At 51.4% G+C, this 22,554-nt stretch overlaps 1 protein-coding gene across 4 annotated transcripts, besides 3 other annotated features; it reads left to right on the top strand.

Annotated features, from left to right (window-relative positions):
- Positions 4,599-4,888: a silencer, noted in NCBI's record as "silent region_9907". NCBI's record gives its function as "represses an Ori minimal core promoter by ATAC-STARR-seq in GM12878 lymphoblastoid cells {active_cell/tissue: GM12878}" and the evidence as "EXISTENCE:reporter gene assay evidence [ECO:0000049][PMID:35858748]".
- Positions 4,735-20,515, top strand: TICAM1 (TIR domain containing adaptor molecule 1). 4 transcript variants are annotated; one of them, NM_001385678.1, is made up of 3 exons: positions 4,735-4,833; positions 17,931-17,972; positions 18,116-20,515. In NM_001385678.1, exons 2-3 carry the CDS (start codon positions 17,969-17,971, stop codon positions 20,206-20,208), a joined length of 2,097 nt encoding a protein of 698 aa, NP_001372607.1. In that variant the 5' UTR covers positions 4,735-4,833; positions 17,931-17,968; the 3' UTR covers positions 20,209-20,515. The 4 variants fall into 4 exon arrangements, with proteins under 4 accessions (NP_001372607.1, NP_001372609.1, NP_001372608.1 ...); NM_001385680.1 differs by having other exon boundaries at positions 17,931-18,063; positions 18,641-20,515; NM_001385679.1 differs by lacking the exon at positions 17,931-17,972.
- Positions 4,899-5,018: a silencer, noted in NCBI's record as "silent region_9906". NCBI's record gives its function as "represses an Ori minimal core promoter by ATAC-STARR-seq in GM12878 lymphoblastoid cells {active_cell/tissue: GM12878}" and the evidence as "EXISTENCE:reporter gene assay evidence [ECO:0000049][PMID:35858748]".
- Positions 20,465-20,594: an enhancer, noted in NCBI's record as "active region_13783". NCBI's record gives its function as "activates an Ori minimal core promoter by ATAC-STARR-seq in GM12878 lymphoblastoid cells {active_cell/tissue: GM12878}" and the evidence as "EXISTENCE:reporter gene assay evidence [ECO:0000049][PMID:35858748]".

Raw genomic sequence — 22,554 nt, 5'->3', positions numbered from 1 at the left:
GCAGGTCACTTGAGGTCAGGAGTTCGAGACCAGGCTGGCCAACATGGTGAAATCCCCCTCTCTATTAAAAATACAAAAATTAGCTGGGTGTGGTGGCACACACCTGTAATCCCAGCTACTGGGGAGTCTGAGGCACAAGAATCACTTAGCCCAGGATGCAAAGGTTGCAGTGAACCAAGATCACGCCACTGCACTCCAGCCTGGGCAACAGAGCGAGACTCTGTCTCAAAAAAAAAAAAAAAATTGGACTCAAAGAGTCAAGTTCTCTCCACGGTGCTTATAACCACCACATTTTAAGGTAGCAATGCCTGTTTTGGAATATCATACATGACACATATGTTGACTTGTGAAAGTGTCAAAGATATATTGACAATGGAATACAGTAAATTTTTTTTTTTTTGAGACGGAGTCTCGCTCTGTAGCCCAGGCTGGAGTGCAGTGGCGCGATCTCAGCTCACTGCAAGCCGCACCACCTCACAGGTTCACACCATTCTCCTGCCTCAGCCTCCTGAGTAACTGGGACTTCAGGCACCTGCCACCATGCCCGGCTAATTTTTTGTACTTTTAGTAGAGACGGGGTTTCACCGCTTTAGCCAGGATGGTTTCGATCTCCTGACACTGTGATCCGCCCGCCTCGGCCTCCCAAAGTGCTGGGATTATAGGCGTGAACCACCACGCCCAGCCGAAAGTATTTATTGTCTGGTCCTTTACAACAAACAGTTTGCTGAACTCTGGCCTATGCGAATTAAAAAGGAAAATCAGATCGAAGAATATTCAGTATCATGATCACGGATCTGTGGATATGTGTGCAAAAGTGGAAAACAGAGGCCGGGCATGGTGGCTCATGCCTGTAATCCCAGCACTTTGGGAGGCTGAGGCAGGCAGATCACTTGAGGCCAGGAGTTCGAGACCAGCCTGGCCAACATGGTGAAACCCCATCTCTACTAAAAATACAAAAATTAGCTGGGCGTGGTGGCGCACAGCTGTAATCCCAGCTATTCAGGAGGCTGAAGTAGGAGAATCGCTTGAACCCAGGAGGAGGAGGTTGCAGTGAGCCAAGATCGTGCCACTGCACTCCAGCCTGGGCGACAGAGCGAGACTCTGACTCCAAAAAGAAAAAAAAAAAAGTGGAAAACAGAATGGATGGGCTTGTGGGTGGAGGCTTCTAGGGGAGGTGGTGGAGAGGGAAAGTAAAAAAAAAACTTGGACTTTTACTGGAATATTATCTTTCTTTCTTTTTTTTTTTTATATTTTTTCTTTGAGATAGGGTTTCTCTCTGTTGCCCAGGCTGGAGTGCAGTGGTGCGATCATAGCTCACTACAGTCTCAACCTCTTGGGCTCTGGTGGTCCTCCCATCTCAGCCTCCCAGGTAGCTGGGACTACAGGCACGTGCTGCCATGCCTCATTTTTTCTTTCTTTCTTTTTTTTTTTTTTTTTGAGATGGAGTCTCGCTGTGTCGCCCAGGCTGGAGTTCAGTGGCGTGATCTCGGCTCTCTGCAAGCTCCACCTCCCGGGTTCATACCATTCTCCTGCCTCAGCCTCCTGAGTAGCTGGGACTACAGGTGCCCGCCACCACGCCCGGCTAATTTTTTTGTATTTTTAGTAGAGACAGGGGTTTCACCGTGTTAGCCAGGATGGTCTTGATCTCCTGACCTCATGATCCACCTGCCTCGGCCTCCCAAAGTGCTGGGATTGCAGGCGTGAGCCACTGCACCCGGCCCTCATTTTTTCTTTATTTTTAATTTTTGTAGAGATGGGATCTCACTGTGTTGCCAGGGCTAGTCTTGAACGCCTGGGCTCAAGCAATCCTCCCGCCTCAGCCTCCCAAAGTGCTAGGATTACAGGCATGAGCCACCGCACCCGGCCTGTTTCTTTCACTGAAGAAGAGAGGGGGCAACTGCACCTCTCTGCAAGTGGCCAAATTCACCCATCTGCAGCCCTGGAATTCTGAATTCTTCAGCCATTACCTTCTCTGAGCCTGTTCTCTCATCTGTAAAATGGGAACCATCAAACCCATTTTGATGGAGAAACGGTTGTTTTAAGACATTGATCAAGCCAGGCATGGTGGCTCACGCCTGTAATTCCAACACCTTGGGAAGCCAAGGCAGGAGGATTGCTTGAGGCCAGGAGTTTGAAACCAGCCTGGTCAACATAGAAAGACATCATCTCTACAAAAGAAAAAAAAAATTACATTAGCCAGGCATGGTGGCATGCACCTGCAGTCCCAGCTACTTGGGAGGCTGAGGTGGGAGGATCGCTTGAGACCAGGAGGTCAAGGCTACAGTGATTAGTGATCACACCACTACACTCCAGCCTGGGTGGCAGATTAAGACCCTGTCTCAAAAAAAAAAAAAAAAAAAAAAAAAGGACATTGATCAGTTGACCAGCAAAGCCCAGTCACGGTGATTCATGTCTGTAATCCCACCACTTTGGGAGGCCAAATTGGGACAATCTCTTAAAGCTAGGAGTCGGGGACCAGTCTGGGTAACATAGTGAGACCCTGTCTCTAAAAGAAAAATGTAAAAAATAATTCAACACAGTGTTGCGTGCCTGTAGTCCCAGCTACTTGGGAGGCTCAGGCAGGAGGATCGCTTGAGGCCCAGAATTGGAGGCTGCTTTGAGCTATGATGGCGCCACTCCACTCCGGCCTGTGCGACAGAGTGAAATCCCATCTCTAAAAAAAAAAAAAAAGCCGGGTGCAGTGGCTCACGCCTGTAATCCCAGCACTTTGGGAGGCTGAGCGGGTGGATCACGAGGTTAAGAGATCGAGACCATCCTTGCCAACATGGTGAAACTCCATCTCTACTAAAAATACAAAAATTAGCCAGGCATGGGGGCATGCACCTGTAGTCCCAGCTACTCGGGAGGCTGAGGCAGGAGGATCGCTTGAACCCGGGAGGCTGAGGTTGCAGTGAGCCGAGATTGCACCACTGCACTCCAGCCTGGTGACTGAGTGAGATTCTGTCTCAAAAAAAAAAAAAAAAAAAAAGTCTGGGCACAGTTTTGCATGGGTACAAGCACCTATGAGACACTCCTTGAATTGGTAATTTTGGGGTGGGAGACAGAGAGGCCAGGAGGATGTGTTTAACTTTCTCTCCCCCACCAGCCCTGGAGACCCTGAAGGGTAAGACCATTTCTGTCTTCCCCGCTACTGTATTCCCAGAGCCTAGACGTTCCTGGAACACAGTCAGTGCTCAATAAAATTTCTCCCTCACTGGAGAGAAGTACTCAATAAGGGGAACTGTGGGGGATTTGACATCAACATAACTTCCATTGCTATCTCCCTACAAGAACTTTTAGGTGAACTTCAGCCTGGGGTCCCTGAGCCTCTTAGGGGTGTTCAGGGTGTCTGTGAATTCTGATGGAGGAAAAAAATTTCACATCTTTATTTTCACTGACTCTAACTGATAATTACCATTCCCTCAATTATTAATGAAGACAACCACAGGACCTGGGACTTTGTCCGTTTGTCCCTAATAAAAACCACAGATACTTTCAGATTGCATTGCAACCAGAAACACATCTGACACTTGTCACCACGGCAAAATCACTGTGATTATTAGATCTTATTTAATGTGGTGATAAAAATAATATAGGCCAGGTGCGGTGGCTCACACCTGTAATCCTAGCACTTTGAGAGGCCGAGGCGGGAGGATTGCTTGAGCCTGGAAGTTTGAAAGCAGCCTGGGTAATATAGGGAGACCCCGTTTCAAATAATAATAATTATTATAATCATAAAATTAGGCCGGGCGCAGCGGCTCACGCCTGTAATCCCAGCACTTTGGGAGGCCGAGGCGGGCAGATCACCTGAGGTCAAGAGTTCGAGACCAGCCTGGCCAACATGGTGAAACCCCATCTCAACTAAAAATACAAAAATTAGCCAGGTGTGGTGGCACGTGCCTGTAATCCCAGCTACTCAGGAGGCTGAGGCAGGAGAATCGCTTGAACCCATGAGGTGGAGGTTGCAGTGAGCCGAGGTCGCACTACCGCACTCCAGCCTAGGCCACAGAGTAAGACTCCAACTAAAAAAAAAAAAAAAAAAAAGGGAGGCCGGACACGGTGGCTCACACCTGTAATCCCAGCACTTTGGGAGGCCAAGGCAGGTGGATCACCTGAAGTTGGGAGTTCGAGACCACGCTGACCAAGGTGGAGAAACTCCATCTCTACTAAAAATACAAAATTAGCCAGGTGTGGTGGCACATGCCTGTAATCCCAGTTACTCAGGAAGCTGAGGCAGTAGAATTGCTTGGACCCGGGAGGCGGAGGTTGCAGTGAGCTGAGATTGCGCCATTGCACTCCAGCCTGGGCAACAAGAGCGAAACTCCGTCTCGGAAAATAAATAAAAAAATAAATAAACAAACAAACAAATAAAATAAGAGAAATAAAATAAAAACAGCTGCTACATTTATTTCCTGGAAAGCACCTATCACTAACGGAGATGATCCCACTTTACAATTGTGATTACTTTCTCATCTGGGACCCCCGCCCAGATGACTGTGGGCTCCCCGAGAGCAGATGCGAGTTCTTCTGGCCCCCTGCAGACAGTAGGTGCTCACACTTGCTGAACGTGACCGCAAGGGTTGGGAAGAGAGCGCATGGGTGCGGGGCGACCCGGGGACTTTCCCGGTGCTGCGGGGCAGGACTCCGAAACCGTGACCTCACGTCCCACACCCACCCGGGACGCGGAAGGGGCGGCGCGCTTCCTTCCCAGGGCGCGGGCCGCGGGGTGGAGCCAGCGCCCTCAGCGCGCTACGGTCCGCGGGCAACTCCGCAGAAGCCCCAGCCCCCAGGACCCCAGGACCCAGTGGCGCAGCCGGCAGCCCCGGATCCCTGGTAGGTGGGGAAGGGGCGAGGACGGGCCTGAGGTGGAGAAGGTGTCGGGGGTGTGGGGGGTGGCCCTGAGCCCGTGCCGCTCGCCAGGGCTCCAGGCCACCTGGCCTCCCTCTTAGGGCCCCGGTGCGGAGGAGGGGGCCTGGCGCCGCGCGTTGGGAGGTTGACGTTCCCCTCAACCTCCAGCTCCCCGCGCTGGTGGCCCAGATCCTCCCCCACTGTCGGGATCCTCCCCAGCACCCTGGCTTCCTCCCCGACAGCCTGACCCCTCCCCCAAACCCCAGATTCCTCCCGGACACCCCAGATTCCTCCCCAACACCCAGGATTCCTACCTGAAACCCCATATTCCTTCTCACCCCAAATTCCTGACACCCAAGCTTCCTACCTCACACCCCATATTTCTCTCAACGCCCTGAATTTCTCCCTGACACCCAAGGTCCCTCCCTGATACCCCAAATTCCTCCGTGACACCCAGGACCCCTCTCTGACACCCTGGATTCTTCCCCAACACCCAGGATCCCTCCCGAATACCCCAGATTCCTCCCAGACACCCCAAATTCCTCCCTGACACCCCAAACTCTTCCCTGACACCCAGGATCCCAACCTCACACCCTGTACCACCACACACCTTCTTCCTTTCTCCCCCTCCTAACGGTTATCCAGCCACATGGGCTTCCTTACTGTTCCTCCAGCTCACCAGGCGCAGTCCTGCCCCAGGGCCTTTGGGCAGGTGGCTTCACCTTCCAGAAGCTTTCCTCCCTGATCTCCACCCAGCCTCCTCCCTCAGCTCCTTTAGGTCTCAGCTCAATGTTACCTCCTGTCCCCAAAGGCCTCCCTTGACCACCGTGGTCCCCTGTAGCCCCTTCCCAGCCAGTCTCTCAGAGCCACACAGCCCCCGGCTCATGGCTTTCACGTTACTTTTCATTCTCTGAAATGATCTTGGGTTATTTTCTCGCTTACTGTTGGTCTCCCTGAACCAGACTGGGAGCTCTGTGAGGGTAGATGTGCCTGCCTTGATATGCAGTGGCACTTTGAACAGTTCCTGGACCTAGTAGGTGCTCAATAAATGCATATTCGATGCATGAAAGGCTGCATGAGAGTGTGGGAAGGAGAGTGGGAGAGGTGGTTAAAACATTTAAAAAGGACAAGGTGGGAGGATCACTTGAGCCCAGGAGTTCAAGACAAGCCTGGGCAGCATAGCGAGACTCCACCTCTACAAAAAAATTCAAAAAGAAAGTTAGCCGGGTGCAGTGGTTTATGCCTGTAATCCCAACACTTTGGGAGGCTGAGGCAGGTGGATTGCTTGAGCCCAGGATCCTGGGTAACATGGGTGAGACTCTGTCTCTACCAAAAATACAAAAATTAGCCAGGTGTGGTGCCGCACACCTGTAGTCCCAGCTACTCGGGAGGCTGAGGTGGGAGGATCACTTGAACCCGGGAGTTCAAGGCTGCAGTGAGCCGTGATCCCACTACTGCACTCCAGCCTGGGTGACAGAGTGAGACCCTGTCTCTAAAAAAAATGAAATGGGGCTGGGCAGGTGGCTCACGCCTGTAATCCCAGGCAGATCACCTGAGGTCAGGAGTTTGAGACCAGCCTGACCAACATGGCGAAACCCTGTCTCTACTAAAAATACAAAAATTAGCGGGGCGTGGTGGTGCATGCCTGTAATCCCAGCCACTCAGGAGGATGAGGCAGGAGAATCACTTGAACCCAAGAGGCGGAGGTTGCAGTGAGCCCAGACCACGCCACTGCACTCCAGCCTGGGCGACACAGCAAGACTCTGTGTCAAAAAAAAAAAAAAAAAAAAAAAGAAATGAAATTAAAAATCAAAAATTTTTTTAAAAAGGAAGAGGAAGAGAAAAAGTCTGCCAATATTTATTGTCACACTAATATTATTATATCAAGCTCTTGCTCCTTGCTGGGCACTGATCTAAACTTTTTAACCATATTTTCGCATGAAAGCTTCAAAACAGACTCCCATTCATCCTAAGTACCAGTTCATGTGGGTGTTATAAATGAGGAAGCTGAGGCTGAGAAACAGACCACACAAGCCGGCAGGTGGCAGAGCCAGAACCCTCCTACCCCATGGGTGTTTTTGTCCCGCCAGGCGCCTGCTCTTCAGAGTGAGGAGTGGACTTTGTCCCAGCCATGGACAGTGAGAAATGAAACTTGCTGGGTCTCGAGAAGGTGGAGGTGGCAGTGGGCAGGGGAGGCGGGCGGGGGAAGCTGGGGCAGTCACTGAAATAGAGTTGAGTTCAGGCCCGGGGGGGCAGAGAGAATGAGAAGAAAGACCACGTGATTTTAGAGATTTGCCAGGCATTCAGGTGGAGATGGTCCTGCCTTGATGATTCTAAGTCTGGCTGGCTTTGTCGTGTTTTCTGCAAAACTCCCCTGAGTCCTTCTTGCAAGGAGGTTTCAGTCTTGCATGCTAATGTTTGTGGGGCATGCGTGTGCCAGGCACTGCTTTAAGAGTCCTATACAGGCCGGGCGCAGTGGCTCATGCCTGTAATCCCAGCACTCTGGGAGGCCAAGGCAGGCGGATCGATTGAGGTCAGGAGTTCGAGACCAGCCTGGCCAACAGCCTGAAACCCTGTCTCTACTAAAATTACAAAAACTAGCAGGGCGTGGTGGCTAACGCCTGTAATCCCAGAATTTTGGAGGCCAAGGCAGGCGGATCACGAGATCAAGAGATTGAGACCATCCTGGCCAACATGGTGAAACCCCGTCCCTACTAAAAATACAAAAATTACCTGGGCATGGTGGCATGCACCTGTAGTCCCAGCTACTCGGGAGGGTGAGGCAGGAGAATTGCTTGAACCCAGGAGGTGGAGGTTGCAGTGAGCCGAGATCGCGCCACTGCACTCCAGCCTGGCGACAGAGGGAGATTCGGTCTCAGAAAAAAAAAAAAAAAAAGATTATCTGGGCGTGGTGGCAGGCTCCTGTAATCCCAGCTACTCAGGAGAGTGAGGCACAAGAATCACTTGAGCCCAGGATGCGGAGGCTGTAGTGAGCCTAGATCGCACCACTGCACTCCAGCCTGGGCGACAAAGTGGGACTCCGTCTCAAAAAATATATATATGTATATATATTTTACTGACATGTAGGCTGGGTGCAGTGGCTCATACCTGTAATCCCAGCACTTTGGGAGGCCAAGGTGGGAGGATCGCTTGGGCCCAGGAGTTCCAGACCCCGTCCCTACAAAACATTAATAATTAGCTGGGCATGGTGGCATGTGCCTGTAGTCCCAGCTACTTGGGAGGCTGAGTGGGAGGATCACTTCTTAATCCCAGGAGGTTGAGGCTGCAGTGAGCTATGATCACACCACTGCACTCCAGCCTGGGTAACAGAGCAAGATCCTGTCAAAAAACAACAACACAGGAGGCTGAGGCAGGAGAACGGTGGGAACCCGGGAGGCAGAACTTGTAGTGAGCCGAGATCGCGCCACTGCACTCCAGCCTGGGAGACAGACCGAGACTCCGTCTCAAAAAAAATAAAAAAAACAAAAAAGAGTGTGAATTCTAAGTGTTAAACTCAATGAATTTTCAGCATGACGCCCAGCCCCACTGCTACCCTGTCCCAGCATGGCCCTTCTCCACACTTTATCATCTATGCCCTCTTATCAGCTAAAAATTGGAGGGTACGTGCCAATGTATGTTTGCTTTTTGCTTGGTAAGTTATACACACAACCGTTCCCAGGAAACACCGGGAGGTGGGAAGAGCAGTTGATTCGTGGATCATCGAACTTAACGGGGGGTGGGGGTATTGGACCGTATTCCAAGTAGTTGTCTTGATCATTTCAAAAAGTTTTGGCCGACTTGTGGTCCCACCTGAATATAGGATCTTTTTTTTTTTTTTTTTGAGATGGAGTCTCACTCTGTCACCCAGGCTGGAGTGCAGTGGCACCAACTCGGCTCGCTGCAAGCTCCGCCTCCCAGGTTCACACCATTCTCCTGCCTCAGCCTTCCGAGTAGCTGGGAGTACAGGTGCCCGCCACCACACCTGGCTAATTTTTTGTATTTTTAGTAGAGACGGGGTTTCACCGTGTTAGCCAGCACGGTCTCGATCTCCTGACCTCGTGATCTGCCCGCCTCGGCCTCCCAAAGTGCTGCTGGGATTACAGGCGTGAGCCACCGCGCCCAGCCCATTTTCATTTTTATCCCATTTTATGTAGAGCTTACAACAGAGATAGAAGCTGGGCATCTGGCCTTTTTCTTTTTTTTTTTTTTTTTTTTTTTTTTTTTTTGGAGACAGAGTTTCACTCTTGTAGCCTAGGCTGGAGTGCAATGGCATGATCTCAGCTCACCGCAACCTCCGCCTCCCGGGTTCAACCTCCACCTCCCGGGTTCAAGCGATTCTCCTGCCTCAGCCTCCCGAATAGCTGGGATTACAGGCTTGCGCCACCATGCCCGGCTAATTTTTGTATTTTTAGTACAGACGGGGTTTCACCATGTTGGCCAGGCTAGCCTCGAACTCCTCACCTCAGGCAATCCACCCGCCTCGGCCTCTCAAAGTGCTGGGATTACAGGCGTGAGCCACTGCGCCCGGCCGTCTGGCCTTTTTCTTATTGTCCGATTGTGCCTGCATTATTTTATTATTATTATTATTATTATTTCCTAAGATTATTAGGAAAAACCTTTTATCCTCCACTTCTCTAGAGGAGTACTTAGGCCATATGCTTATTTCCTGAACATTAGTTTAATTAAAACTAGGTGAGGCTGTTTCTCAGGCCCCATAACCAGGTCCACATAAGCTGGAGTCTGTGTTAAATCTGAAAATGTTAAAAGGAGCCAAAAAGCTCAGTGGATTCTAGAACCAGACAGCCTGGGTTCCAATCCAGCTGTATCCCTTATGAGCTGTGTGACTCTGGACTACTTACTCAACTTCTCTGTACCTCTGTTTCCTTGTGTCAAAAAGGGGCCATACTCCAATATTACTGGACTGTAGTGGAGATGTCTAAAACTGTGCTGTCCAACAGAAATATAACATGAAGCAGCCGCGAACAGTGGCTCACGCCTGTAATCCCAGCACTTTGGGAGGCCGAGGCTGGCAGATCACTTGAGGTCAGGAGTTCGAGACCAGCCTGGGCAACATGGTGAAACCCCGTCTCTACTAAAAATACAAAAATTAGCCGGGTATGATGGCGGATGCCTGTAGTCCCAGCTACCCGGAAGGCTGAGGCAAGAGAATCGCTTGAACCTGGGAGGCAGAGGTTGCAGTGAGTCGAGATCATGCCATTGCACTCTAGCCTGGAAAATGGAGCAAGACTCCATCTCCAAAATATATAAATAAATAAATAAATATATATATATATCTCCTAATAATACATTTTATTAATCCAATATGTAAATGCATTTAATAATATATTTTATTTAACTCAATATACCCAACATGGTCCAATATAATGTTCCATTACGAATGAGGCATCTTCCATACCTTTTTTATTTTGTTGTTTTTGAGACAGCGTCTCACTCTATTGCCCAGGCTGGAGTGCAGTGGCGCGATCTCCGGTCACTGCAGCCTTGATTCTCCTGGCCTCAGGCGATCCTCTGACCTCAGTCTACCAAGGAGCTGGGGCCACAGGCATGCACCACCACACCCAGCTAATTATTTTTATTTTAATTTTATTTATTTATTTATTTGTTTGTTTCTTTATTTTGAGATGGAGTTTTGCTCTTGTTGCCCAGGCTGGAGTGCAATGGTGTGATCTTGGCTTACTGCAACCTCTGCCTCCTCGGTTCAAGCGATTCTCCTGTCTCAGCCTCCCGAGTAGCTGGGATTACCAGCACCTGCCACCATGCCCTGCTAATATTTTTTATTTTTAGTAGAGACAGGGTTTCACTGTGTTGGCTAGGCTGGTCTCGAACTTCTAAACTCAGGTGATCCACCTGCCTCAGCCTCCCAAAGTGCTGGGATTACAGGCGTGAGCCACCACACCCGGCCTATTTTTATTTTTTGTAGAGATGGGTCTCACTGTTGCCCAGGCTGGTCTCGAACTCTTGGGCTCAAGAGATCCTCCTACCTCAGCCCCCTAAAGTACTGGGATTATAGGCATGAGCCACTGCACCCTGCCTTAATTAATTAAAAATTAGATAAAATGCCGGCCGCGGTGGCTCACGCCTGTAATCCCAACACTTTGGGAGGCCAAGGTGGGAGGATCACTTGAGCCCAGGCAACATGGGGAGACCCAGTCTCTACAAAAATACAAAAATTAACGGGTACATATCCAGGTTTGTTATATAGCTAAATGGCATGTCACAGGGTTTGGTGTACAGATTATTCCATCACACAGGTAATAACTGTCGTACCTGATAGGTAGTTTTTTGTTGTTGTTGTTTTAAGACAGAGTCTCGCTCTGTCGCCCAGGGTGGAGTGCAGTGGCGCCATTTCAGTTCACTGCAACCTCTGCCGCCCGGGTTCCAGCAATTCTCCTCCCTCAGCCTCCCAAGCAGCTGGGATTACAGGCGCACACTGCCACACCCGGCTAATTTTTTGTATTTTAGTAGAAACGGGGTTTTACCATGTTGCGCAGGCTGGTCTCGAACTCCTGAGCTCAGGCAATCCACACACCTCGGCCTTCCAAAGTGCTAGGATTACAGGCGTGAGCCACCGCTCCCGACCCTCCTCTCCCTCCTCCTCACCACCACCCTTAAGCAGGCTCTGTTATTTTATTTTATTTTTTTTTGGAGACAGAGTCTTGCTCTGTCACCCAAGTTGGAGTGCAGTGGTGTGATCTCTGCTCACTCCAGCCTCGACTTCTTGGGTTCAGGTGATTCTCCCACCTCAGCCTCCCTAGTAGCTGGGACTACAGGCACCCGCCACCACACGTGGCTAATTTTTCTATTTTTAGTAGAGACGGGATTTCGCCATGTTGGCCAGGATGGTCTTGAACTCCTGACCTGAGGTGATCCACCTGCCTCGGCCTCCCAAAGTGCTGGGATTACAGGTGTGAGCCACTGTGCCTGGCCCTGTTGTTCCCTTCTTTGTGTCCTGCGGTGGCTCACGCCTGTAATCCCAACACTTTGGGAGGCCGAGGCAGGTGGGTCATCTGAGGTCAGGGGTTCCAGACCAGCCCGACCAATATGAGGCAACCCCATCTCTACTAAAAATACAAAAATTAGCCGGGCATAGTGGTGCGAACCTGTAATCCCAGCTACTCAGGAGGCTGAGGCAGGAGAATCTCTTCAACCCAGGAGGCGGAGGTTGCAGTGAGCTGAGATTGCGTCACTGCACTCCGGCCTGGATGACAGAGCGAGACTCTGTCTCCAAAAAAAAAAAAAAAAAAAAAATTGGATAAAAGTTAAAATTCAAGCCAGGCATGGTGGCTCATACCTGTAATCCCAGCACTTTGGGAGGCTGAGGCAGGCAGATAGCTTGAGGTCAGGAGTTCAAGACCAGCCTGGCCAACATGGCAAAACCCTGTCTCTACTAAAAATACAAAAATTAGCTGGGCGTGGTGGCATGTGCCTGTGATCCCAGCTACTGGGGAGGCTGAGGCACGAGAATAACTTGAACCCAGGAGAGGGGGGTGGCAGTGAGCTAAGATCGCACCACTGCACTCCAGCTTGGGCGACAGAGCAAGACTTCATCCTAAAAAAAAAAAAAATTAAAATTCAGTGTCTCTTTACTACCACAGCCACATTTCAGGTGCCCAGTAGACACAGGTAGCTGGGGGCTGCCATACTGGACAACACAGACAGAGAGTGTTGAGGCTGATCTAGACTGCAAGTATCTGCAGTGTATTAGCTACTGTGGCTGTGGTAATAAAGTGCCCCAGCCCGGATGGCTTAAGCAACAGAAATTTATTCTCTCACAGTTATGGAGGCTGGAAGTCCAAGATCGAGGTGTTGTAGGGTTGGTTCCCTCTGAGGACTCTCCTTAGCTTGCAGACGGCCGCCTTCTCCCTGGGTCTCCTCACATCATCTTCCTTCTGTGCAGTTACGTGTCTGTATCTGAATGCCCCCTGCCTTTTCCTTTTTTGATGCAGGTTCTTGCTCTGTTACCCAGGCTGGAGTGCAGTGGCGAGATCTTAGCTTGCTTGCTGCAGCCTCAACCTCCCAGGCTCAACCAATCCTCCCACCTCAGCCTCCTGAGTAGCTGGGATTTCAGGCGCATGCCACCATGCCTGGCTAATTTTTTTTTTTTTTTTTTTTTAAGACAGAGTCTTGCTCTGTCACCCAGGCTGGAGTGCAGTGGCGCTATCTTGGCTCAATGTAAGCTCCGCCTCCCAGGTTCACGCCATTCTCCTGCCTCAGCCTCCCGAGTAGCTGGGACTACAGGCGCCCGCCACCATGCCTGGATAATTTTTGCATTTTTAGTAGAGATGGAGTTTCGCCATGTTAGCCAGGCTGGTCTCGTACTCCTGACCTTAGGTGATCTGCCCACCTCGGCCTCCCAAAGTGCTGGGATTACAGGCGTGAGCCACTGCGCCTGGCCATGCCTGGGTAATTTTTGTATATTTAGTGAAGACGGGATTTCACCATGTTGGCCAGGCTGGTCTCGAGCTCTTGATCTCAAGTGATCAGCTCACCTCCACCTCCCAAATTGCTGGGATTACAGGCATGAGCCGTCAGGCCCGGCCAAATAAAAATACTTTCAACATCAAAAACAAACAAACAAAAACACCAAAGCCAAATACAAACCAAAAAAAGGCCTTTTCTCTAAATAAAGTCACATTCTGAGCTACTGGAGGTTGGCACTTCAACATATGATTTTGGGGAGAGACACGATTGAACCCATAATAGCCAGTCATACCCCATACTAATTAAAAGGCATTTGGTGTTACAGTTACAAACATTGGCATCAAATGGCTGCTCTGTCAGTCACTAGCTGTGTGATCTTGGTCATGTTTGCCCCTCTGTGGAATGGAAAATAAAAAAAATCACATGCCTGTCTCATAACCCAGGTGTCTACAAGCTTTTTCTGTCAAGGGTCAGAGAGTGAATATTTTCCACTTTGTAGACCCCATGGTCTCTGTTGTAGCTACTCCATCACTCTAGTGGGAAAGCAGCCATCGATGTGTGTAAATGAGTGAGGATGTCTGTGTTGCAATAAAACTTTATTTATAAAAGCAATTGGCTGGGTGTAGTGGCTCACACCTATAATCCCAGCACTTTGGGAGGCCAAGGTGGGCGGATCACACAAGGTCAGGAGTTCGAGACCAGCCTGGCCAATATGGTGAAACCCCGTCTCTATAAAAAGTACAAAAATTAGCTGGGCGTGGTGGCGGGTGCCTGTGGTCCCAGCTACTCGGGAGGCTGAAGCAGGAGAATCGCTTGAACCTGGGAGGTGGAGGTTGCAGTGAGCCAAGATCATGCCACTGCACTGCAGCCTGGGCGACAGAGCGAGACTCTGTGTCAAAACAAGACAAAACTAAAAAACAATTGGCCGGCACAGTGGCTCACGCTTGTAATCCCAGCACTTTGGGAGGCAGAGGCAGGCGGATCACCTGAGGTCGGGAGTTCAAGACCAGCCTGGCCAACACGGAGAAACCCCGTCTCTACTAAAAATACAAAATTAGCCGGGCATGGTGGCGCACGCCTGTAATCTCAGCTACTCGGGAGGCTGAAGCAGGAGAATTGCTTGAATCCGGGAGGTGGAGGTTACGGTGAGCTGAGATTGCACCATTGTACTCCAGCCTGGGCAACAAGAGTGAAACTCTGTCTCAAAAAAAAAGGCTGGACGGGGTGGCTCATGCCTGTAATCCCAACACTTTGGGAGGCCGAGACAGGCAGATCACCTGAGGTTGGGAGTTCAAGACCAGCCTGACCAACATGGAGAAACCCCGTCTCTACTAAAAATACAAAATTAACCAGGCATGGTGGTGCATGCCTGTAATCCCAGCTACTTGGGAGGATGAGGCAGAAGAATCGCTAGAACCCGGGAGGCGGAGGTTGCGGTGAGCCGAGATCGTGCCATTGCACTCCAGCCTGGGCAACAAGAGTGAGACTCTGTCTCAAAAAAAAAAAAAAAAATCGTGGGCCATATTTTGTGGCCCCTGTCAAAGGGAGATCTGCACGGTGGGATCAGGACAGGCTTAACCAAAAACATGAAGGAGGGTAAGGGAGTGAGCCATAGGGATATCTGGGGGGTAACAGAGATATAGGCAGAGGGAACAGCCAGTGCAAAGGTCCTGAGGCAGGACTGTGCCCAGTTTAAAGAACAGATGGGGAGCACAATATAGCATGTAGTAAGCCCTCAAATAAGTGGTTGCATGTAAGTGTGTGTGTGTATCCACACATGCCCGTTATATTGTCGTATGTAATATATATGATGCTTATATATTACATATAACTAACATACCATTAGACAGTCAGTTGCTCCAGGGAAGAGTCCATTGCTGTTTTTCCTTGTCTGCATACTGGTGTATTCACTAGTACCCAATACATGGCAGATGCTGAAAAAATTACTTTTTTTTTTTTTTGAGATGGAGTTTCACTCTGTCATCCAGGCTGGAATGCAGTGGCGTGATCTCGGCTCACTGCAACCTCCGCCTCTTGGGTTCAAGTGATTCTCCTGCCTCAGCCTCCCAAGTAGCTGGGAGTACAGGTGCCCAACACCATGTCTGGCAATTTTTTTTTTTTTTTTTACTAGAGACGGGAGTTTCACCGTGTTGACCAGGCTGATCTTGAACTCATGACCTCAAATGATCTGTCCGCCTTAGCTTCCCAAAGTGCTAGGATTAGCAGCATGAGCCACCACACCTGGCTAAAAATTACTTCTTTTTGTTTGTTTTTTGATGGAGTCTTGTTCTTTTGCCCAGGCTGGAGTGCAGTGGCACGATCTCGGCTCACTGCAACCTCCACCTCCCAGGTTCAAGCGATTCTTCTGCCTCAGCCTCCCAAGTAGCTGGGATTACAAGCACACGCCACCATGCCCGGCTAAATTTTTTATTTTTTATTTTTTTTATTTTTCTTTTAGTAGAGACAGGGTTTCACCATGTTGGCCAGGCTGGTCTTGAACTCCTGACCTTGTGATCCACCTGCCTCAGCCTCCCAAAGCACTGGGATTACAGGCATGAGCCACCGCGCCCGGCCAAAAAATTACTTCTTAAATGAATGAATGAATGCTATGTATGTATCCTTCCCTGCAGCCTCAACTTCCTTGGCTCAAGCAATCCTCCTGCCTTAGCCTCCCGAGTAGCTGGGACCACAGGCACACACCACCAGGCCTGGCTCCAAACTTTTTTTTTTTTTTTTTTAGATGGAGTCTCACTCTGTCGCCCAGGCTGGAGTGCAATGGTGCAGTCTCGGTTCACTGCAACCTCCGCCTCCCAGGTTCAAGCGATTTTCCTACCTCAGCCTCCCGAGTAGCTGGGATTACAGGCGCCTGCCACCATGCCCAGCTAATTTTTTGTATTTTTAGTAGAGACGGGGTTTCACCATATTGGCCAGGCTGGTCTCGACCTCCTGATCTCGTGATTTGCCCGCCTCAGCCTCCCAAAGTGCTGGGATTATAGGCGTGAGCCACTGCGCCTGGCCCAAACTTTTTTTTAAACTCACAAAGTCTCTTAAAAATATTGGAATTGATTGTCATCCCGAGAAGAATGAGCGGATTTCTAAAAATCTAGATCTCTGGCTTCTCTTGAAAAATGAGTGGATGTGGTGCCTGGCTCCCTTGCCATATTCTGTTAATGTCATAGTCCAACGCTGGGACAGTGTTGGAAGGACTGCTCAAGACTGCAAATACCAGGATGTTGGGTCCTTGAGGACCATCTAGAAGGCTGACTATTTATTTATTTATTGAGACGGGGTTTCGCTCTTGTTGCCCAGGCTGGAGTGCAATGGTGCGATCTTTGCTCACTGCAACCTCTGCCTCCCGGATTCAAGCGATTCTCCTGCCTCAGCCTCCTGAGTAGCTGGGACTACAGGCGCGGACCACCACACCCGGCTAATTTTTTTGTATTTTTAGTAGAGATGGGGTTTCACCATGTTGGCCAGGCTGGTCTTGAACTCCTGACCTCAGGTGAGCCGCCCTCCTTGGACTCCCAAAGTGCTGGGATTACAGGTGTGAGCCACCGTGCTCAGCCGAGGCTATTTAGCAAGCATGTATTGAGCACCTACTGGCTTTCAGTCATCAAGCTCAGAAGTATCTCTGTGTTAATCCAACTCAATTCCCCAAAACAAGTCTGTAAGTGTATGCCATTAGGCACACAGCCTCCACAGCCAGACTGCCTGGGTTGAAATCCGTCTTCTGCCATCCACTGATAGTGTGACTTTGGGCAAGTGACATCACCTCTGTGTGTCTTGCTTTCTTCATCTGTAAATGGGGAAAATAGTGTAATAGTGTTTACCTCTCAGGTAACACCAGGTAAGTCTCAGATGACAGCATTTTTTTTTTTTTTTTGAGACTGGGTCTCACTCTGTTGCCCAGGCTGGAGTGCAGTGGTACCATCATAGCTCACTGCAGCCTCAACCTCCTGGGCTTAAGCGATCTTCCCATCTCAGCCTCCGGAGTAGCTGGAACAACAGGCACGTGCCACCACGCCCAGCTACTTTTTTTGTTTTTTGAGCCGGAGTTTCACTCTGCTGCCCAGGCTGGAGTGCAGTGGCATGATCTTGGCTCACTGCAGCCACCACCTCCTGTGTTCAAGCGATTCTCCTGCCTCAGTTTCCCAAGTAGCTGGGATTACAAGAATGCACCACCACTCCTGGCTAATTCTTTGTATTTTTAGTAGAAACGGGGTTTCACCATGTTGGCCAGGCTGGTCTCGAACTCCTGACCTCAGGTGATCCCCCCGCCTCGGCCTCCACAACTGCTGGGATTACAGGCTTAAGCCCCCTCACCCAGCCCAGCTAATTTTTAAACTTTTAGTGGAGACGGAGTCTGGCTGTGTTGCCCAGGCTGGTCTCGAAGTCCTGGGCTTAAGTGATCCTCCTGCTTCAGCCTCCCAAAGTGCTGAGATCACAGGCCTGAGCCACCACACTGGCCTCATAGCATTTTGCAGAGGAAGAAATGGAAGTTGAAGGAGGCGACGTGTTGCCGAAGGTCACCTGGCTAGGTCTGGGTGGCAGGCGGGGAAAGCAGGCGGGGGTGTGTGGGCCGCCTTCCCGTGCTGACCTTTCTTGGGGGTAAGTGTGTTTGCTTCTCCTGTTTCCTACAGATCTGCTTGGGCAGCTCCTGCAGAACCTGGAACAGTGAATGGGTAGGGGACACTGGGCGTGCAGAAGGCGGGGGGCAGTGTGGAACATGCCTTCACCACCTCCAGCTTCTGCTGCCGGAGGCTGCACCCACCTGTGCCCATGGCCTGCACAGGCCCATCACTTCCTAGCGCCTTCGACATTCTAGGTGCAGCAGGCCAGGACAAGCTCTTGTATCTGAAGCACAAACTGAAGACCCCACGCCCAGGCTGCCAGGGGCAGGACCTCCTGCATGCCATGGTTCTCCTGAAGCTGGGCCAGGAAACTGAGGCCAGGATCTCTCTAGAGGCATTGAAGGCCGATGCGGTGGCCCGGCTGGTGGCCCGCCAGTGGGCTGGCGTGGACAGCACCGAGGACCCAGAGGAGCCCCCAGATGTGTCCTGGGCTGTGGCCCGCTTGTACCACCTGCTGGCTGAGGAGAAGCTGTGCCCCGCCTCGCTGCGGGACGTGGCCTACCAGGAAGCCGTCCGCACCCTCAGCTCCAGGGACGACCACCGGCTGGGGGAACTTCAGGATGAGGCCCGAAACCGGTGTGGGTGGGACATTGCTGGGGATCCAGGGAGCATCCGGACGCTCCAGTCCAATCTGGGCTGCCTCCCACCATCCTCGGCTTTGCCCTCTGGGACCAGGAGCCTCCCACGCCCCATTGACGGTGTTTCGGACTGGAGCCAAGGGTGCTCCCTGCGATCCACTGGCAGCCCTGCCTCCCTGGCCAGCAACTTGGAAATCAGCCAGTCCCCTACCATGCCCTTCCTCAGCCTGCACCGCAGCCCACATGGGCCCAGCAAGCTCTGTGACGACCCCCAGGCCAGCTTGGTGCCCGAGCCTGTCCCCGGTGGCTGCCAGGAGCCTGAGGAGATGAGCTGGCCGCCATCGGGGGAGATTGCCAGCCCACCAGAGCTGCCAAGCAGCCCACCTCCTGGGCTTCCCGAAGTGGCCCCAGATGCAACCTCCACTGGCCTCCCTGATACCCCCGCAGCTCCAGAAACCAGCACCAACTACCCAGTGGAGTGCACCGAGGGGTCTGCAGGCCCCCAGTCTCTCCCCTTGCCTATTCTGGAGCCGGTCAAAAACCCCTGCTCTGTCAAAGACCAGACGCCACTCCAACTTTCTGTAGAAGATACCACCTCTCCAAATACCAAGCCGTGCCCACCTACTCCCACCACCCCAGAAACATCCCCTCCTCCTCCTCCTCCTCCTCCTTCATCTACTCCTTGTTCAGCTCACCTGACCCCCTCCTCCCTGTTCCCTTCCTCCCTGGAATCATCATCGGAACAGAAATTCTATAACTTTGTGATCCTCCACGCCAGGGCAGACGAACACATCGCCCTGCGGGTTCGGGAGAAGCTGGAGGCCCTTGGCGTGCCCGACGGGGCCACCTTCTGCGAGGATTTCCAGGTGCCGGGGCGCGGGGAGCTGAGCTGCCTGCAGGACGCCATAGACCACTCAGCTTTCATCATCCTACTTCTCACCTCCAACTTCGACTGTCGCCTGAGCCTGCACCAGGTGAACCAAGCCATGATGAGCAACCTCACGCGACAGGGGTCGCCAGACTGTGTCATCCCCTTCCTGCCCCTGGAGAGCTCCCCGGCCCAGCTCAGCTCCGACACGGCCAGCCTGCTCTCCGGGCTGGTGCGGCTGGACGAACACTCCCAGATCTTCGCCAGGAAGGTGGCCAACACCTTCAAGCCCCACAGGCTTCAGGCCCGAAAGGCCATGTGGAGGAAGGAACAGGACACCCGAGCCCTGCGGGAACAGAGCCAACACCTGGACGGTGAGCGGATGCAGGCGGCGGCACTGAACGCAGCCTACTCAGCCTACCTCCAGAGCTACTTGTCCTACCAGGCACAGATGGAGCAGCTCCAGGTGGCTTTTGGGAGCCACATGTCATTTGGGACTGGGGCGCCCTATGGGGCTCGAATGCCCTTTGGGGGCCAGGTGCCCCTGGGAGCCCCGCCACCCTTTCCCACTTGGCCGGGGTGCCCGCAGCCGCCACCCCTGCACGCATGGCAGGCTGGCACCCCCCCACCGCCCTCCCCACAGCCAGCAGCCTTTCCACAGTCACTGCCCTTCCCGCAGTCCCCAGCCTTCCCTACGGCCTCACCCGCACCCCCTCAGAGCCCAGGGCTGCAACCCCTCATTATCCACCACGCACAGATGGTACAGCTGGGGCTGAACAACCACATGTGGAACCAGAGAGGGTCCCAGGCGCCCGAGGACAAGACGCAGGAGGCAGAATGACCGCGTGTCCTTGCCTGACCACCTGGGGAACACCCCTGGACCCAGGCATCGGCCAGGACCCCATAGAGCACCCCGGTCTGCCCTGTGCCCTGTGGACAGTGGAAGATGAGGTCATCTGCCACTTTCAGGACATTGTCCGGGAGCCCTTCATTTAGGACAAAACGGGCGCGATGATGCCCTGGCTTTCAGGGTGGTCAGAACTGGATACGGTGTTTACAATTCCAATCTCTCTATTTCTGGGTGAAGGGTCTTGGTGGTGGGGGTATTGCTACGGTCTTTTAATTATAATAAATATTTATTGAATGCTTCCGCAGCGCCATTGTCTTCTGGGACACCTTCTGCCTGGCTATTTGTTATAAAACACGTGGCTCCCGCTCCCGCAAAAGGGAACAGGAAGCGGGAAGTGCACGCCTCTTCTTGGAGGGCATAGACCGGCCTTTGCCCTCATCCCATTGGCCAGAATATAATCACATGGCCCTGCTCCTGCCGCAAGGAACCCTGGGAAATGTAGTCCTTTCTGAACGGCCGTGTGCCTCCCGAGTCGGGGTTCTAATACCAGGAAAGGTGGAGGGAAAAGATATTGTTGAGGGCGGGGAGGGTGCAGCCTGGGCAGCATGGTGAGACCGCGTCTCTTCAAAAATACAAAAGTTAGCTGGGCGTGGTGGTGCACGCCTGTAGTCTCAGGTACTCAGGAGGCTGAGGTGGGAGGATTGCTTGAGCCCAGGAGCCGAAGGCTGCAGTGAGCTATGAATGAATGAATGAATGAATGAATGAATGAGTGAGCGAGTGAGTGAATGAATGAATGAGTGAATGAGTGAGTGAATAAATGAACGAGTCAGTGAATGAATGAGTGAAAGAATGAACGAGTGAATGAATGAGTGAATGAATGAACGAGTGAGTGAATGAATGAGTGAATGAATGAACGAGTGAGTGAATGAATGAGTGAATGGATGAGTGAGTGAAAGGATGAGTGAATGAATGAATGAGTGAGTGAATGAATGGATGAGTGAATAAATGCATGAATTTGAATGAATGCCATTGGGGGACATTTAGCAGTTTTTGCTGCAGCCCTTCCTTTTTCTTTGGGGTCTGCCTTTGATGCCCCCACCAAGGTTGGACTCCGATGCCACTGTGTGACATTTGGCAAGTGCCTCCCCTGTCGGAGCCTCTGCTTTTTCATCTGAGAAATGGGTCTGTGGAGGCTGTTGTTTCAAGGCCTCAGCGGATCATATGCAGAACCACATATCAGGTACACCATACCTGGGTAGCAGGTGCAGCACTCATTAAGTATGGGGACCCACATGGAAGGGATTAATATTTTTCAGGGTGACAGACCTTCTAAGAATAAGAATGGAGCCAAGGTTTGTTGGACACTTAACATGTATTGATTCTGGAGTGTCTAAATACATAAACAAGACTGGGTGCTGTGGTGGCTCACATCTGTAATTAATCCCAGAACTTTGGGAGGTTGAAGTGGGAGGGTTGCTTGAGGCCAGGAATTCAAGACCAGCTTGGGCAACATAATGAAACCCCATCTCTATTTTTTTTTTTTCCTGAGATGGAGTCTGGCTCTCTCACCCAGGATGGAGTGCAGTGAAGAGAGCTCAGCTCACTGTAACCTCCACCTCTCGGGTTCAAGCTATTCTCCTGCCTCAGCCTCCCGAGTAGCTGGGATTACAGGAGCTCGCCACCACACCCGGCTAATTTTTGTATTTTTAGTAGAGATGGGGTTTCGCCATGTTGGCCACGCTGGTCTGAAACTCCTGACCTCAGGTGATCCACCTGCCTTGGGCTCCTAAAGTGCTGGGATTACAGGCGTAAGCCACCACACCCAGCCGCATCTTTCTTATTTATGTATGTATTTATTTATTTATCAACTGAATAAGACATCCAACTCTTTTTAAAAAATAAATAAATAAATAGGCCAGGCATGGTGGCTCACATCTGTTATCCCAGCACTTTTGGAGGCCAAGGCAGGCGGATCACTTGAGGTCAGGAGTTCGAGACCAGCCTGGCCAACATGATGAAACCCTGTCTCTACTAAAAATAGAAAAACCAGCTGGGCATGGGGCACACACCTGTAGTCTCAGCTACTTGTGAGGCTGAGGCAGGAGAATCGCTTGAACCTGGGAGGCGGAGATTGCAGTGAACTGAGATTGCGCCACTGCACTCCAGCCTGGGCAACAGAGCAAGACTCTGTATCAGTAAATACATACATAAATAAATAAAAATAGGCAGGGCATGGTGGCTCATGCCTGTAATCCCAGCACTTTGGGAGGCCGAGGTGGGTGGATCACCTGAGGACAGGAGTTCGAGACCAGCCTGGCCAACATGGTAAAACCCCGT

The sequence above is a fragment of the Homo sapiens genome, chromosome 19 (assembly GCF_000001405.40).
Source record: "Homo sapiens chromosome 19, GRCh38.p14 Primary Assembly".
NCBI classification, from domain to species: domain Eukaryota; kingdom Metazoa; phylum Chordata; class Mammalia; order Primates; family Hominidae; genus Homo; species Homo sapiens.
This window is presented reverse-complemented; position numbering and strand designations above follow the sequence as displayed.